Source organism: Homo sapiens, chromosome 10 (assembly GCF_000001405.40).
Source record: "Homo sapiens chromosome 10, GRCh38.p14 Primary Assembly".
Classification (NCBI taxonomy): domain Eukaryota; kingdom Metazoa; phylum Chordata; class Mammalia; order Primates; family Hominidae; genus Homo; species Homo sapiens.
The window spans coordinates 87,989,202-88,008,325 of record NC_000010.11 but is presented as its reverse complement, the minus strand read 5'-3'; the positions used below and the strand labels follow the sequence as shown (position 1 = coordinate 88,008,325).

The following is a 19,124-nucleotide window of genomic DNA, read 5'->3' as shown; positions in this document are numbered from 1 at the left end:
CAGGCTATACAATAAATTATGTTAACAATAGTCACCCTATTGGCCAGGTACGGTGGCTCATGCCTGTGATCCCAGCACTTTGGGAGGCCAAGGTGGGCAGATCACCTGAGGTCGGGAGTTCAAGACCAGCCTGACCAACATGGAGAAACCCTGTCTCTACTAAAATTACAAAATTAGCTGAGCGTAGTGGCACATGCCTGTAATCCCAGCTACTTGGGAGGCTGAGGCAGGAGAATCACTTGAACCCAGGAGGCGGAGGTTGTGGTGAGCCAAGATAGCACCCTTGCACTCCAGCCTGGGCAATAAGAGTGAAACTCCGTCTCAAAAAAAAAAAAAAAAAGTCACCCTATTATGCTACAAAAGACTGGATCTTATTCATGTTTGAGGGGTTTTTTTGAGACAGAATCTCACTCTGTCACCCAGGCTGGAGTGCAGTGGCACAATCTCAGTTCACTGCAACCTCTTCCTCCCAGGTTCAAGCGATTCTTGTGCCTCAGCCTCCCGAGTAGCTGGGATTACAGGTGCAGGCCACCATGCCCAGCTAATTTTTTGTATTTTTAGTAGAGACAGTGTTTCACCATGTTGGCCAGGCTGGTCTAGAACTTCTGACCTCACGTGATCTGCCTGCCTCGTACTCCCAAAGTTCTGGGATTACAGGAATGAGCCACCACACCTGGCCCTAGAACTTATTCATTCTAAATGTATTTATGTACCCATTAACCATCCTCACTTTATCCTCCACTCCTGCCACTCTTCCCAGTCTCTGATAAGCATCATTCTACTCTCTATCTCCATGAATTCAGTTTTTAAAATTTTTAGCTCCCACATATGAGTGAAAACATGTAAAATTCATCTTTCTGTGTCTGGTTTATTTCACTTAATGACTTCCAGTTCCATTCATGTTGTTGCAAATGACAGGATTTCATTCTTTTTATGGCTGAATAGTACTTCATTATGTATATGTACCACATTTTTTTATCCTTTTGTCTATTGATGGACATTTAGGTTGTTCATGAAGTAAATTTTGTCTATGCTTGAGCTGATGGATACCCCAATTATCATTATTTCATCATTACACATTGTATGCCTATATCAAAACATCACATGTACTCCATAAATATATAGAACTATTATGTACCAATAATAATTATAAACAAAAAATTTTAATTAAACAAAAAGAGTCCCTTTCTACAGGAAGCCTTTAGCAACACTCCACCTCAGGTTCTATCCCCAGCAAAGTTGGAAGCTAACTCCTCCCCCAGCTCAGCAACCTCTACTCTGTAATTGTCACTTTGCCTTGTTATTCTATGCTTGCATAATCTGTGTCTCTCTAGGAAGCAAGCTGCTAATGGAGAAAGCAATGGGTGTGCCATCTACTCTCTCCCTAACAGCAATGGGGCAGCCACCATTTAGGTAGGCTTAACATTTTCCATTTTGAATCCCATCAGCTTGTTGAATTCCATCACCTTCTGGAACTACAGCCAAAAATAAAAATCAACATATAGGGACAACCACAAAGAAAAATACCAAATTTACTCTTCTTGAGTAGATGGCACCATCATTATCAATTGGTTACTCAACTTACTCAACTCAAGCAGGCGCCCTGGGAATTACCTTATCTCCCCTCACCATTTACATTTAGTTCCCCAAATCCTACACATTCTACATTGTTGGCATTGCTAGGTTTCCCTGCCCTCCGTCTGCTATGCAGTGGCAAGTCAAAGAAAGGAAAGTCTTCTCCTTTCTTTACTCCTCCTAACTCACCTCCCTCTCTTCAGTCTCTTGCTCAGTACATTTTCACGTGGCGTAGATCTGTGTAGAAACTTTCAATGACACTCTCGCCAGTCCTGGCCAATGCTCATGCCTCATCCTAAGCACAAGGCCGATCCTGGCCAGGTCCCAAATTCTTTCCAGCCTCATGTCCTGCATTATTCCCATTCATTGATGCTCTAACCCCACGGAGCTCTTTGTAATTCCTTGACCATATAGTGTAAGCCTTTGCCCATCCAAGTCTTTTACCCTCTCTCCCAAAGTGTTTTCCTTCCCCCACCCTTCACCCTGCCTTTTCCTACCACCAACCTCCCATTCCTCACAAAGAGGCTCAGATAATATCTTTTTTGAAGCTATCTCTAGCACAAAGCGGTTCATACAGCCTCTTCCCATAGCATTTACTATAGAGACCTACTACACCACTGATCACATTATAATCATTTTTCATGCATTTCACTGACTAGATACTTGTGTGTATATATATGTATATTTATTTCTGTAGAAATATTTATAAATATATAGAGAAATATCAACCTCAATATACATATATATTTGTTTATTTTAAAGTAGGATGATGAGTTAGCACTGGCCAGGATTTTTACTTTAAAGAAATATATATGGCCGGGCACAGTGGCTCATGCCTGTAATCCCAGCACTTTGGGAGGCCGAGGCGGTGGATCACAAGGTCAGGAGATCGAGACCATCCTGGCTAACATGGTGAAACCCCGTCTCTACTAAAAAATACAAAAAATTAGCTGGGCATGGTGGCGGGTGCCTGTAGTCCCAGCTACTTGGGAGGCTGAGGCAGGAGAATAGCGTGAACCCAGGAGGCGGAGCTTGCAGTGAGCCGAGATCGTGCCACTGAACTTCAGCCTGGGCGATAGAGCAAGACTCCATCTCAAAAAAATAAAAATAAATAAAAAATATATATATATATATACACACATATATATACATATATATATAAAAAACATAAATATACATATATCAGGATATATATACACATATCAGGATACATATAAGGTAAATTTTATATTTACATTTTATATTTATTAAATTTTATATATTTATTATTTATAAATTTATATTTTATATTTATTAAATGTTATATTTATATTATATAGCTCTCTCTCTTTCAAGATCCAGTCAGTGAAATGCACAATATATATAAATATGAAATATGTATATTTTGCCACTAAATGAAATAAAAATTCTCAAAGGCAGGAACCATGTATACAATCAGTGCTTAATAAATATTCATTTAAAAGAATGAGTAGAACCCTGTTACACTGTGTTTGTTGTTTTGTTTTGTTTTTTAAGACAGAGTTCGGCTCTGTCGTCCTTGCTGGAGTGTAGTGGCATGATCTCGGCTCACCGCAACCTCAGCCTCCTAGGTTCAAGCGATCCTCCCACCTCAGCACCCCGAGTAGGTGGGACTACAGGCATGCACCACCATGCCTGGCCTAATTTTTGTATTTTTTGTAGAGATGGGGTTTCATCATGTTTCCCAGGCTGGTCTCAACCTCTTGGCTCAAGCAATTCACCCACCTCAGCCTCGGCCTCCCAAAGTGCTAGGATTATAGGCGTGAGCCAATGTGCCTACTTAAGCTACATCTTCAGCAAAATTCTTAACAGTTATAATTCTATATATTGAGGAGAAAGAATCATGTCCCTAGAGATGTGAGTGGTTCCCACAGCAGATGGTCACATGGAACATTCTAATCAGACAGGCCAAAAAAGAAGCAAACCAAAGTCAGGGCCCTGTGTAGCAGCCTCTACAGCAACAGGCTGAAAATTCTTCCAAACTAACTCTGACCCCCAGACTTCTTTACTGAGATCAACCAGTATCCCATTTAAAAGTTTCAGCCACAAAATGGGGCATTCTTTCCTTGTGATTCACATTACCCAGAAGCCTCCAGCTTCCCGGAATTTGTGTTAAGCAGTAGCTTTCAAAGATGATAATATTTGCCAACAGTCCCTGGGGCACTACTTTACATTTTCCTGAAACAAAAAGGGGATTATTTTGTTCATATTCCTCATTTCTACAGGCCTTTGCATATATTAGTTCTTCCTCTTCTGGCATTAAATAGCAATCTCTTTCCATTAAATTATGAGAATTACTTTATTGTCTTTTTAACATCAGTTGTCCATCAAGGTTGACAAGGCTCCTTGACATTCTCATGAACATCTTACTCAACATGTGGGTCCTAATTTCCCACTCGTCTTAAGAAATGCTGATCATAGGTAGTAAGAAATTAACACTTAAGAATTTGATCTTTACCAATGTCCCATAATTACCTATTCAGTTCTATAGGCCTGCATTATTACTGCCCAAACCATAATCTTTGAAATTATGTAGAAAGAAAAAAAATGATGCTGTGATTATTATCAATCTAATCAAATCCAATTATTTGATTATTGATAACTTATTTTTCTTCTCTGGCCTTTTTTCATCCCTTTTCATATCTCAGGAGTGTGCTCTATCACACTTCCTCCTGCCCAAGGATTAGTATGTCCAGATTCTGGCTTTCCTGCAAGGTGTATTTTGAATGCCAATATCCCTCTATGGAATTCCCATGATGCCTCCCTATCCAACATAACCTTTCTGTTCTCATGCACCACCTTAGTCCCTTCTCTAATATTTTGCACTACATTGTAGACATGGCTCCATATGTCTTAACTTTCCTACTGCACTACGAGTTTCTTAAAGAAATAATACGCATGCTCTTATTATGTTATCTTTAAAGGACTCTCAGAGTACTGAGTTTACAGAAGCATGCCATTGTTTGTTGGGTAAATACATTTTTCTGCCCATAAACTGCTATACTAGGTAAATGGGTGATTTAAAGGTTTTAGTGAATAATTAAGACCAATTTGGGTCAAGGTTTTTACAGTATTTGACATATAGAATGTAATCCAGCTTCCACTATTCTCTAGCTCAGGGATGCACCTTCTTTGCCTTAAAAAGTCTTACTCATCACTGGAATAGAAGCTTCCTGAGGGCAGTGGCCGTTCCTATTGTTTCCCTCAGTGGCCCCTGTGCCTGGCTTGTGGTAAGTATTCAATACATATTAATTAGTAAATTAATCTTTCAAGATCCAATTCCATTTCTTTTGAAAGCTTTTCCTAACCATCTCAGGATTCACTTATGCCTGATGCTACATATGTCTGTGTATATATACATATATTCATATATATGTACATACATGTATGTGTATATGTGCTTTTTGGATGATTCAACGGTATAGTCATTCAAAGAAAGCATATCTTTCTATTTTATAGATAAGAAAACAGAGGGCAAGAGACCTTTAAGTAATGAGGTTACAAGCTGGTTAAGTGGCAAACCTTGAATTCTGACTCAAGTATGTCAATTCCACCGGGTTCTTGTTAATATACCACTGTGTCTTTTATAATTTCAAGAGGCTTGAAATTTCCCTCACTTTCCAAAATCAACAGCATAGTAACATAATCCTTCCAGGGTTAGCATTAATTTTAATATCTATAGTCCTTTGAGATCTATTTCTCTTTCTGTTCTTTACTTTGCAGTATGCTCTGGGAACGTGCTCTGCCTGTGATGAGAAGTTCCATTCTAGTTATATACCACTTTGGCTTCCTTTTCCATATATGAACTAACAATGCATTTTTCTTGGATTTCTCTCAGTTCTTGTAGTTTAATAAAGCTTCCCAAGACACGCTGAAGGTTTCTTCCCTCTGTGCACACTTCCTCCTTCCTACTAATCACCTTTCTTTTGTGACAGTCCATCTCTCTTCTAATACTTCATTTAGCATAGATTTTCCAGCTGTCTCCTTTATCTTTTTTAAATTATAATTATAATTAAAGTATAATTTTAAGATGTATGATTATATACCTCTTCATTGCAGAAATGTTAGAAAATGCATATACATAAAAGGAAAATATTGATAACTAGAAATACCACCACCCAGTAAAAGTACCATTAATTCTGCAATCTCCATCTTGCTTTATTTTTATCTATATGAATATATTTGTTTACAGATACAGATTTTTAAAATAAAATTAAATACATGAGTCATTTTGAATTAAGAATTTGTCATTTAGTGTCCTGTGGACACAAAAAGGAGGATTTTGGGCCGGGCATGGTGGCTCATGCCTATAATCCCAGAACTTTGGGAGGCCGAGGCAGGTGGATCACCTGAGGTCAGGAGTTCGAGACCAGCCTGTCCAACATGGTGAAACCCCGTCTCTACTAAAAGTACAAAAATTAGCCAAGCATGGTGGCGGTCGCCGGTAATCCCAGCTACTTGAGAGGCTGAGGCAGGATAATCGCTTGAACCCAGGAGGCAGAGGTTGCAGTGAGCTGAGATCGTGCCATTGCACTCCAGCCTGGGCAACAAGAGCAAAACTCCATCTCAAAAAAAAAAAAAGGAGAAAGGTTTTTTGGCAAACAATAAAATTTGTTATATATTCAAATAAATCTCATTAATTATATTATTCAGTTTCTCTAGTATAATGCATATTTGTTCCTCTTTGGTTAGTTAATGACTCACAGGAATATGCTAATGTTCTCCCACCACAGATTTTTTTCTTCACGCATCGCAAACAGATTTTCCATTATGTATTTTATCATTATGTTGTTTTTTATTGTACATAATTTCACTACAATTAGGTATTTATTGAGGTTTCTATATGTCAGCAATAAAACAGTAATCCTTTTGTCCTATTTGTTGATTTTTACAGGAACATAAAATACTCCTATGTCAAAATTGGGACTCCTGCTTTATTTTTGTTTGTATTTGTATGTCATGTTTTGCTAATTCTTACATTTTTAACCCAGCATGTGGAGCAGTGCTAGGCACATGGTAGGCATGCAATAATTTGATTCATTGATCTACTGAATCAATAAATAGTGGTTACACTTCCTTTGTTACTCCTTGTAGATGTCTCTTCTAGGTATTACCTTATTGGATTTCGTTTTTGACCCAGTGTGGTACTTTCTTTCTTTCTTAGGTGATTTTACTTCATTTTTATTTTTTTTAAGTAATATACACTTGGTCCTATTTCTGTCATGTTGTTGTGTGTTTTTAAATGTTTATTACTATTTTCTAACTTTTATCTGTTTCACTGATGTGTTTTCCTTCGATAATAATTTGAAATGTTTTAGTTCTGCCAGTAGTTATCTTTTTAAAAAATTACTTAAATCCATGCTTCCCTTCAATATTCTCAATCTATATTATAATTGAAGAGTATCTATTGACATTTCATATGAAAAATACTTCCTCCTATGGCCTCCCCTTCTACCTGCCATCTAGCCAGTTGGGAGAGGTAAGGTTTGGGACTTTTGTCTCAGCAAATTATTGTAAATGTTAACACTGTATATGTTTAGAGTATTATCATTGTTTGCGCAGTGATCCTTCTTTTTCGATAATGTGATGGGTTTTTTTTTTGTTTGTTTGTTTTTGTTTTAAAGTTCTGGGATCCACGTGCAGGATGTGCAGGTTTGTTACACAGGTAAACATGAGCCATGGTGGTTTGCTGCACCTATCAACCCATCACCTAGGTATTAAGCCCAGCATGCATTAGCTGTTTTTCCTGATGCTCTCCCTTTCCCACACCCCACCAACAGGCCCCATCATGTGTTGTTCCCCTCCCTGTGTCTATGTGTTCTCATTGTTCAGCTCCCACTTATAAATGAGAAGGTGTGCTGTTTGGTTGTCTGTTCCTGTGTTAGGTTGCTGAGGATAATGGCTTCTAGCTCCATCCATGTCCCTGCAAAGGACATGATCTCATTCCCTTTTATGGCTGCATAGTATTCCATGGTGTACATGTACTACATTTTCTTTATCCAGTCTATCATTGACAGACATTTGGGTTGATTTCATGTCTTTGCTATTGTGAATAGTGCTGCAATGAACATATGTGTGCATGTATCTTTATAACAGAATAATTTATATTCCTTTGAGTATATACCCAGTAATGGGATAGCTGTGTCAAATGGTATTTCTGGTTCTAGGTCTTGGAAGAATCACCGCACTGTCTTCCACAATGGTTGAGCTAATTTACATTCCCATGAACAGCATAAAAGTGTTCCTATTTCTCCACAGCCTCACCAGCATCTGTTGTTTCTTGACTTTCTGATAATCTCTATTCTGACTGGTATGAGATGGTATCTCATCATAGTTTTGATTTACATTTATCTAATTATCAGTAATGCTGAGCTTTTTTTAATATGTTTGTTGGCCACATAAATGTTTTCTTTTGAGAAGTGTCTATTCATGTCCTTTGCCCACATTTTAAGGGGGTTGTTTGCTTTTTAGTGTGAATTTGCTTAAGTTCCTTGTAGATTATGGTTATTGGACCTTTGTCGGATGGATAGACTGCACACATTTTCTCCCATTCTGTAGGTTGTCTGTTCACTCTGATGATGGTTTCTTTTTCTGTGCAGAAGTGCTTCAGTTTAGTGAGATCCCGATTGTCAATTTTTGTTTTCATTGCAATTGCTTTTGACATTTTCACCTTGAAATCTTTGCCCATGCTTATGTGCTGAATGGTATTGCCTAGATTTTCTTCTAGGGTTTTTATAGTTTTGGATTTTACATTTAAGTCTTTAATCCATCTTGAGTTAATTTTTGTATAATGTGTAAGGAAGGGGTCCAGTTTCAATTTTCTGCATATGACTAGACAGTTCTCCCAGCACCATTGATTAAGTAGGAAATCCTTTCCCCATTGCTTGTTTTTGTCAGGTTTGTTGAAGATCAGATAGTTGTAGATGTGCAGTCTTATTTCTGAGTTCTGTATTCTGTTCCATTGTTCTATATGTCTGTTTTGGTACCAGTACCATGCTGTTTCAGTTACTGTAGCCTTGTAGTATAGTTTGAAGTAGGTAGCATGATGCCTCCAGCTTTGTTCTTTTTGCTTAGGATTGTCTTCACTATATGCACTCTTTTTTGGTTCCATATAAATTTTAAAGTAGTTATTTCTAATTCTGTGAAGAATGTCAATGGTAATTTAATGGGAATAGCATTCAATCTATAAGTTGCTTTGGGCAGTATGGCCATTTTCATGATATTGATTCTGCCTACCTGTGAGCATGGAATGTTTTTCCATTTGTTCATGTCCATTCTGATTTCCTTGAGCAGTGGTCTGAGTTCTCCTTGAAGAGGTCCTTTACTTCCCTTGTTAGCTGTATTCCTAGGTATTCTATTCTCTTTGTATCTAATGAGAATGGAAGTTCATTCATGATTTGGCTCTCTGCTTGTCTATTGTTGGTGTATAGGAATGCCTGTGATTTTTGCACATTGATTTTCTATGCTGAGACTTTGCTGATGTTGATTATTAGCTTAAGAAGTTTTGGGGCTAAGATGATGGGGTTTTCTAGATATAAGATTATGTCATCTGCAAACAGAGATAGTTTGATTTCCTCTCTTCCTATTTGAATACGTTTTATTTCTTTCTCTTGTCTGATTGCCCTGGCCAGAACTTCCAATACTATGTTGAATAGGAGTGGTGAGAGAGGATATCCTGTCTTGTGCCGGTTTTCAAGAGGAATGCTTCCAGCTTTTTCCCATTCCGTATGATATTGGCTGTAGGTCTGTCATGAATGGCTCTTCTTATTTGTAGGTATGTTCCATCAATACCTAGTTTACTGAAAGTTTTTAACATGAAGGGATGTTGAATTTTATTGAAGGCTTTTTCTGTGTCTATTGAGATAATCATGTGGTTTTTGTCTTTAGTGCTGTTTATGTGATGAATTACATTTATTGATTTTTATATATTGAACCAGCCTTGCATCTGGGTATGAAGCCAACTGGATTGTAGTGGATAAGCCTTTTGATGAGCTGCTAGATTCAGTCTGCCAGTACTTTATTGAATATTTTTGCATTGAAGTTCATCAGGGATATTGACCTGCAGTTTTTAATAATGTGACTTTTGCAATCTTTTAGGTAACCATGTGGTATAGTTTGGATATTTGTCCCCACCCAAATCTCATGTTGAATTGTAATCCCCAGTGTTGGAGGTGGGGCCTGGTGGAAGGTATTTGGATCATGGGGACAAATCCCTTATGGCTTGATACTGTCTTCATGATAGTGAGTTCTCATGAGATTTGGTCACTGAAAAGTTGTGGCACCTCCCCCACACAACTCTCTCTCTCCTGCTCTTGCTTGTGCCATGTGATGTGCCTGCTCCTGCTTCACCATCTGCCATAATTGTAAGCTTCCTGAGGCTTCCCCAGAAGCAGAGCAGATACCAGCAGCATGCTTCCTGGATAGCCCACAGAACCATGAGCCAATTAAACCTCTTTGCTTATAAACTACCCAGTCTCAGGCATTTCTTTATGGCAACACAAGAGTGGCCTAATATACGATGTTTATCATAGTTTTATGTACCCTGTTCTAAATTGAATAGTTTCAAGGCTTATTACTGTCACTAGCCCTTCCATACCATGATTTCTCACTTCAAGAGGTTTTATTTACTTATATTTAAATTTTGAATGAATAATTCCATAAAACTTTAAAGGCAAGAACGTCACCAAGACAATTCTAGGTGTTGTTCATTTTGTCATTAATTATACATTAGCCACAGGCATATCTGGATCATTGTTTTTTTCAGAAACATCTTTGTTTTATTTGTTCTCTCCCTTTTGGGATCACCAATTATCCACATGCTACACCATTATTATTTGTCTCCTGTATCTTTTATATTCCTTCTAACTCTCTAGTCTTCTTGCCTATTTCCTCTATGTTCTTACAAAGCTTCTTATACTTATCTCATTTAACTGGCTTGATTCTCTGCAGTGGTAATTCCACTCTTCATTGCTTCATATGCCATTATAATGTCTGTTGTGGTCTTACTTGTTCCCTTACATTTTAGTCTTACATTTCTTTTTTATTCTCATTCTGTTGTCTTACCATAACATCTTCTATCGCTTATTCAAAGAAATCATAATTTGTTTAAGTATCCTGAAATTTCTAAGCAAATGCTCCCTAAAACTGAACTGTCTTTTCTGGAGTATGTTCAGCCTTTGGTTTGGGGAATGCTATGGTAATCTTCTACTTTTATGTGGCAGAATATTTTATATATCCCATTTTTTGTTTTGTTTCGTTTCATTGTTGTTTACTTTAGAAATCATTCATTTAATTTAAAAAATAAGACGGGTTGCAGCGGCACATGCCTGTAATCTCAGCAATTTGGGAGGCTGAGGCAGGAGGATCCCTTGAGTACAGGAGTTCGAGACCAGCCTGGGCAATACAGTTGAAACCACTTCTAAAAATAAAATATTAGCCTAGTGTGGTGGCGTGCACCTATGGTCCCAGCTACTCGGGAGGCTAAGGTGAGAAGATTGCTTGAACACAGGAGTTGGAGGCCACAGTGAGCTGTGATCACGCCACTGAACTCCAGCCTGGGTGACAGAGCAAGATCCCATCTTAAATAGATAAATAAAATAATTTTCAAAATATATTTATTGAGATAAAGGTAAAGAAAAAAATCTTAGCACTAGCCTGCAGTTTCATCTTCTAGTGTGAAAAATCTTTAAACAAGTAAGCAAAGAAATATCCAATGTGAACTGGGGAAAGTCATTTAAGAAAAAGGGAGTCCTATCAGAAAGAATACTTTGGGGAACCTCTTTTGTTTGGGTGATTCCCTAGACCTCTTGAGAAGTACCATTTAAGATAAAATTTAGGCCAGGTGCAGTGGCTCATGCCTGTAATCCCAGCACTTTGGGAGGCTGGGGTGGGCAGATCACCTGAGGTCAGGAGTTCGAGACCAGCCTAGCCAACGTGATGAAAGCCATCTCTACTAAAAATACAAAAAATTAGCCGGACGTGGTGGTGCACACCTGTAATTTCAGCTACTCAGGAGGCTGAGGCACAGGAATTGCTTGAACCCAGGAGGCAGAAGTTGCAGCGAGCCAAGACCACATCAGTGCACTCTAGCCTGGGAGACAGAGCAAGACTCTGTCTCAAAAAAAATACAATGAACAAGGTAAAAATACCAGCACATGCAAAGCTCTGAGGTCAGAAACACTCCAGTTCCTCTCCACCCTAATCACTCTGCAGGAGATAAAGAGGTTGGAAAAAACCAGGTCATTCCCAGTGTTGTACAAGCTTGGACATTCTTGGAAATGCCAGGAGAAGTTATTAGGATCTTTAGGGGAAAGGACTGACATGGTCTGATCGATGCTTCAAGTTTATTAGGACTGCTATCTGAAGAATGGGGTTGAAAGAAAAAAGGAGAAGCAAGGGCCAATTAGGAAGGTTTGTCAGTAATCCCAGTAAGAAATTATAGCAGTTTGAATTAAGAGAGAAAGACTAAAGTTATACTTTGGAATAAGAATCTTAGATTAAATGGATTGGATTAAATGTGGTGGAGAGAAGGTTGTTAAATAAGGAGAAAAAAATATTAGGCCTTTGGCTTGAACAACCAGGTGGACGGTGCTGCTGTTTACTGAGATGTGAAAGACTAGGGGAAGAACAGGGTTAGGGCTGAAAATCAAGAATTCAGTTTTGGACATGTTAAGCTTGAGATGCATGTGAAAAATAGATAACATGGAGACTCTGTGGAGAAATAGTAGATGGAAATAGAAACTTGAGAAGTCATCAGGATACAGAGGTATTTAACATGAATGGATTGGAGCACCTTGGGTAGAAGTATAGAGGGAGATGAGTAGGTAGCCAAACACCACAACCTAAGGGACTCCAAAGTTTAGACATGTAGTAGAGAAGGAAGAGATGTAAGGAGGACCCAAAGACTGTGGAGTCACAGAAGCCAAGAAAGAAAGGTGTTTCAAGAACAGTGGTCGACTTTCATTTAAAATGGCAAAATGAAGATACTTCTACACACTTCTCTCAGAAATCTCCTTCAAACAACAAAGAGAATGAGAACAGAAACACAAATTCCAACTTTAATGAATGCTAGAGACATTTGTAGCCAACAAAAATATGAAGATGAAAAGAGGTGGAAGGATAGTAACTACCTATAGGAACAGTAGAAAGTGAAACAAGTGCTTGCAGAGAGATACTGATGAGAAGAAAGTTGATTGACTCTGCCTAACCCTGAAAAGACACAGAAAATGGAGTTATCCAGTACTATAAAAAAGGGAGAAAAATGGAAAATTGAGCCTTGGGATTTTGGATCTCTTGCGCCACAATATGAATGGACAACCAAGTATTTCCAGACATTTACAGTAATATAAAAATAGAGATTCAAACAAACTGTAAAAAGGAACTTGAAGAGGAAAAAAAGTATAAAAGCTGAAGAACTCTTGAAATTTAAAACACTGTAATTACTCCTCTCAGAATGATAAGAATATATTGTGTGTATAAATCAGCAACAGGAAGCCACATAAAAGAAAAGTTCGGCCAGGCACAGAGGCTCACACCTGTAATCCCAACAAGCGTTGGGAGGCGAGGCAGACAGATCATGAGGTCAAGAGATTGAGACCATCCTGGCCAACATGGTGAAACCCCGTCTCTACTAAAAAATACAAAAATAAGCTGGGCATGGTGGTGCACACCTGTAGTCCCAGCTGCTCGGAAGGCTGAAGCAGGAGAATCGCTCAAACCCGGGAGGCAGAGGTTGCAGTGAGTCGAGATCACACCACTGCACTCCATCCTAGCAACAGAGTGAGACTCTGTCTCAAAAAAAAAAAAAAAGAAAAAGAAAAAGAAAAAAAAAGACAGAAAAATTCAGAGAACAAGAAAGAGATCTTGGAAATAAAAATACAACTGCAATGACTTTTTAAAAATCAATAGAGCAATTGGAAGATACAAACCAAGAAAATCCCTCACTTTTCTTTGAAATTAAGGACTTGTTAATAATAATACAGAAAACTTCCTCCCAGAATTTAGAAAAAAAAGAGAAAGCTTTTTGCAATCAAATTATCAGTCCAGCCTCTGATGAAGCCTATGTTAGTAGGCACATCTGAGTGGTAATGAATGCCAGCAGCTCTGATGAAAAAAACAGGATCAATCCAGAAGATGAGTTCCAGAAAGGAAGAAGAACAGAGAAAATAATGGGAGGGAAATTATTTTATATACACACACTTAATTCCCAGAATTAAAAGACATAAAACTATAAATTAAAAGGATCCACAATTACACACAATGAATATTAAAAGATCCCTAGGACACATTATCATAAAATTTTAGAACATCAAAAATGAAAAGAAGATCCTAAAAGCTTCCAGACAGAAAAACAGGTCCCATAGAAATGACAGAAATCCAAATGGTATTTGGCTTTACAACAGCTATATCAGAGGTGGCAGCATAGGGGAAAGGTTGGAAACCTGGCTGCTGGGTTTGAATCCTGACTCTATACTCTGTGAGTAATGATAGTGTTGTTATGAGGATAAGGTAGGTTCGTATTTATAAGCGTGCAGAACAGTGTCTGGTACCTAATATTTGCGATTTAAGTATTTTCTAAATATACCTAGGGAAGATAAATTGAACACGTATTCTAAATTCTGAGGGTAAATGAGTAAATGAGCTGCCACTTGCAAGTCAGTACCTAACTAAAACTCTTAAATAGGTATAAGAATAGAAAAAAACATCTTTTTTTTTTTTTAGGCAGAGTCTCTTTCACCCAGGCTAGAGTGCAGTGGTGCGATCTCGGCTCACTGCAACCTCCACCTCCCAGGATTAAGCAATTCTCATGCCTCAGCCTTCCTAGTAACTGGGATTACAGGTGCTCGCCTGTAATTAGCACCAGCTAATTTTTGTATTTTTAGTAGAGATGGGGTTTCGCCATGTTGGCCATGCTGGTCTTGAACTCCTGACCTCAGGTGATCCACCCACCTTGGCCTCCCAAAGTGCTGGGATTACAGGAATTAGAAAAAAAAAAAAAAAAAAAAAACATATTTTCAGGCATGCAAAGTCACCCCCAAAATTAACTTCCTCTGCACCTTTTCTCAGGAAGCTCCAGAATTATAAGCATCACTGAAAATAGGGATTAAACTAAGAAAGAGGATACAATAGGCAGGAAATAGGGAACCTAACACAGGAGAAAAGCAAAGGAAAGTCCCAGAATGACAGCTGGATAGCAGGCCTAGAGGGTAATCAGTGAAGATCACAGGATGGTCTTCAGAAAAATAAATGAAATGGATAGATTCCTGCCAGATTTGACCATGTCAGACATCATACTGAAAGAAGGAAGAAAAATTAGCAAAGGCTGCAAGGTACAAGGAAATGAACAAATGAAAATAAATCAGGCAATTACTATGTACAGGAAAAACAGAAAGTTGAATAAGAAAAAGAAACAATCAGTACACTGCTTGGCCAAGCTGACAGCAGTATTAATTTAGTCCATTAATAAAAATATTTAATAGTGATTTAAGTAGAAACAGTGATATAACTATTCCAGAGGATTAAAAAGGGATAAGAGTTGGGGCTTGGGAGATATGTGTGCTAAACAGCAACTACCAAAATGAGAAGCCAATATAATCTCTAAAGTTAAAAAGCAAAGAGAGTATTGACATATTATTTAGAAATATGGAGGTAAACACAGGACTGGAATACTTACCCTAAATAGTGTGTATGTATTCTCCTGAGCCTCCTTATTAATCCTAGGCACCACTTAAAAATCGCCTCTTAGATCCATTTGGAGGGCTGATGATGTATGGTCTTCTCATAACTGTTCTAAAAGAAATCTAAAGAATATTGGAGAGAGCTGAGGCCAGGCCTGCCTGGGATCAGGTGAGGAAGAGGAAATAATCTTTATTATTTGACTTCTATATTTCACCCTGTCTCATAGGAAGGTAGATTCCCATGTCCATTGCTCTTTGGTTTGATAGTCGCTCTTGGTACACCCACCATTTGATACAGATTCCCTTTCTCTTGGTGGGAAAGTGAGCACTGATAGTTCTGTTTGGGAAAGTCCTTCTTTTCCTTGAAGTGAAGCCCTAAGTTACTGAGAAGACGAATCAAAGAAAATACTCAATTTACTGTTTGTTACTATAAGCTGTACTCTTTTTTGTTTTGCTGTTTTGTTTTGTTTTGAGACAGAATCTCGCTCTGTCGCCCAGGCTGGAGTACAGTGGCGCGATCTCGGCTCACTGCAACCTCCGCCTCCCGGGTTCAAGCGATTCTCCAGCCTCAGCCTCCCGAGTAGCTGGGACTACAGACGTGCGCCACTACGCCTAGCTAATGTTTGTATTTTTAGTAGAGACGGGGTTTCACCATGTTGGTTGGCCAGGATGGTCTCGATCTCTTGACCTCGTGATCTGCCCGCCTTGGCCTCCCAAAGTGCTGGGATTAGAGGCGAGAGCCACCGCGCCCGGCCCAGTATAAGCTATGCTCTTACAGCCACATCTCCCACTCTGCCTCAGCCTCTCTCTAAATTAAGGGGTTCCAGTTAGGTTTCCAGGATTTCCTTTCTCTGTCTCTTCAGTCCGGGCTCATTGCACCATAACTAATAGAAATTCTTTGAATTTTGTGGAATGTGGTTGGCAACATTCCCTGGTTTCAAAACAAATTAGTTGGGAGCATTTTGTTTTTTTGAAAGTCTCTTGGCCATTTCCAGTTCTGAGAAAAGCTTCAGAAACTTATATGTAAACTGCCATCTTTCCCAGAAACCTGTGGCAAGGTTTCTTGATTCTCCTAAGTGTGTTTAACTCATGTCTAAATATCCCTATAAAAAGTATCAAATTGTAATATATTGAAAATAGGCCTTTTCAAATTCACAACCTAAGGGGGCTTCTATTGTAATGTATACTAGATAGTGCCACCTGGTCCTGTATTGATTGAATTATACAAGGATGTATATTGTTAAGAAGAATGTTTAAAATTTTAATACAAACAAAATATGATATAGTCACAAAATGAAATATTTAGCCACAGAAAGGAATGAAGTTATTCAACATAGATGAAACTTGAAAATATTATACTAAGTGAAGAAGCTAGACACAAAAGGCTATTATCATATGACTCCATTTGTATGAATTGTCCAGAGAAAACAAATCTGTAGAGACATAAAGTAGATTACTGGTTTCAGAGTATAGGGGAAAGGGAAATGGAGAATGATTGCTAGTGGATACAGTGATGAAAATGCTTTGGAAAAGAAAGGGGTGGTGACTGCACCACTTTCTGAGTATAGCAAAAAACCACGAGTGTACACTTTAAAAAGGTGAATGTTACAGTGTGTGAATTACATCTCAATTAAAAAAAAATGAATACACTCTCCCTGGGGCACTGAAACGTGTTTAAAAATTTCAAACCATAGCATGCACAATTGCATACAAAAGAAGAATTCACAGAGCTATGCAGAAAGTGACAAGCCCTAAAACTTACTTAGAGTTTTATGTACCAGTCATGGAATCAAAACATTAATAAGTGGTAAAATAAAATGGAGTTCTGAAATGTGAATAGTGTGCTACCATTTGAATTTTAAAAAAGAAAAAAAAGAGGGCCGGGTGCAGTGGCTTACACCTGTAATCCCAGAACTTTGGGAGGCCGAGGCGGGCAGATCACTTGAGGTCAGGAGTTCAAGACCAGCCTGGCCAACATGGTGAAACCCCATCTCTACTGAAAATACAAAAATTAGCCGGGTGTGGTTGCACGTGCCTGTAATCCCAGCTACTCAGGAGGCCGAGACACAAGAATCATTTGAACCTGTGAGGCGAAGGATGCAGTGAATCGAGATCGCGCCACTGCACTCCAGCCTGGGCAACAGAGTGAGACTCTGTCAAAAAAAGAAAGCAAAGAAAAAGAATAAAATTTTTTACATATACGTAAAATATCTTAAGGCAATATTTTAAAAATGGTCACAGTGGTTGTTTTCAATGAGAACTGGCTAAGAAATGTGTGACAGTGTAGTTAAGACTTTCACTAGATATCCTTCTGATTTTAAACCATGAATGAAATACACATTCAAAATAAATGAAAATTAAATTAATTTTGCCTAATTTTAGTTAACTTTATATTTACAAATACAATCTCCAACTATAACTGTAGTGTTTTCTATGTGTACTTTCAGGTCTTTAGCTTTTGTTTAATATATTTAAAGCCCTGTTATCAGCTGCACCCACAATTAAAATAGCTGTGGCTTCTTGTTGACTTGACCCCTTTATCATTAGAAAATGCCCTTCTTTAATACTTGTAATGTTCCTTGTTCTTAAGTTTATCTTCTCTGATATTAATAAAGCCACTCCAGATTTCTTTTGATAAGTAGTTGCATAGTATATATTTTCCCATTGTTTTAATTTTTAACCTGTCTTTATATGAAATATTAGTTGCATTATAGCACATAGTTGAGTATAGTTTTTCTCTTTATCCAATCTAACAATCTCTGCCTTTAAATTGGAGTATTAAGACCATTTACACATAATGAATTATTGATATGGTTAAATTTAAATCTATCTTATTGCTATTTCCTATTTGTTCCATGTGTTCTTTATTCCCTTTCCCCCATCCTTGCTTTCTTTTGGATTGAGTATTTGTTTTTTATGATAGCATTTATCTTCACTAATGGCTACACATTTTTTTTTTTTCTGAGATGAGGTCTCACTCTATCACCCAGGCTGGAGTACAGTGATGCAATCTCAGCTCACTGCAGCCTCAACCTCCTAGGGCTCAGGTGATCCTCCCACCTCAGCCTCCTGAATAGCTGGGACTACAGGTGCATGCCACCATGGCCGGCTAATTTTTGTATTTTTTGTTGAGACAGGGTCCCGCTATGTTGCCCAGGCTGGTCTCAAGCTCCTGGGCTCAACTGATCTTCCCCACCTTGGCCTCCAAAAGTGCTGGGATTATAGGCATGAGCTACCATGCCTGGCATTCAGCTACACCTTTTTGTTTTAGTTTTGATGTGGTTGCCCTGGGATTTATAATATACATCTTTAACAAATCATAGTCTACCTACAAGTAATTTTATACCACCTCAAGTATAGTGTAAAGACCTTACCACAGTATACTTCTATTTCCTTCTATTGCTTGTCATGCTTCATATTTACCAATTTTAAATTACAAATTTCAATTTTACATATGTTATAAATTTTATGGTACATTGTTATTATTTTAAATAGTCAATTATTGCGATGGCTAATTTTACATGTCAACTTGACTGGGCCACAGTGCCCAGATATTTGGTCAAACATTGTTCTAGATGTGTTTCTCTGAAGGTGTTTTTTGGATGAGATGAACATTTAAGTCAGTGGACTTTGAGTAATCAGATTACCTACCATAATGTGGATGTGCCTCATCCAATCAGATGAAGACCTTAATAGAACAAAGACTGACTTCTCCTGAGCAAGAAGGAATTCTGCCAGCAAACTGCCTGTAATAATGTTGTGTGTCAACTTGACTGGGCCATGGGGGGTCCAGATGTTTAATTAAACATTATTCTGCATGGTCTTTGGGGGTGTTTCTGCAAGAGATTAACATTT

The 19,124-nt window shown here is 38.2% G+C and overlaps 1 non-coding gene across 1 annotated transcript, besides 1 other annotated feature; it reads left to right on the top strand.

Annotated features, from left to right (window-relative positions):
* Nucleotides 1,077–1,634: an enhancer, noted in NCBI's record as "NANOG hESC enhancer chr10:89766449-89767006 (GRCh37/hg19 assembly coordinates)". NCBI's record gives its function as "activates a minimal SCP1, AML or CMV promoter by ChIP-STARR-seq in naive H9 embryonic stem cells {active_cell/tissue: H9 hESC(naive)}" and the evidence as "EXISTENCE:reporter gene assay evidence [ECO:0000049][PMID:30033119]".
* On the top strand, nucleotides 13,631–13,708 carry LOC124900295 (small nucleolar RNA SNORD74). The gene has a single exon (XR_007062401.1). It is a non-coding gene; the product is annotated as a small nucleolar RNA SNORD74 (small nucleolar RNA).
* Nucleotides 13,709–19,124: the final 5,416 nt, after the last annotated feature.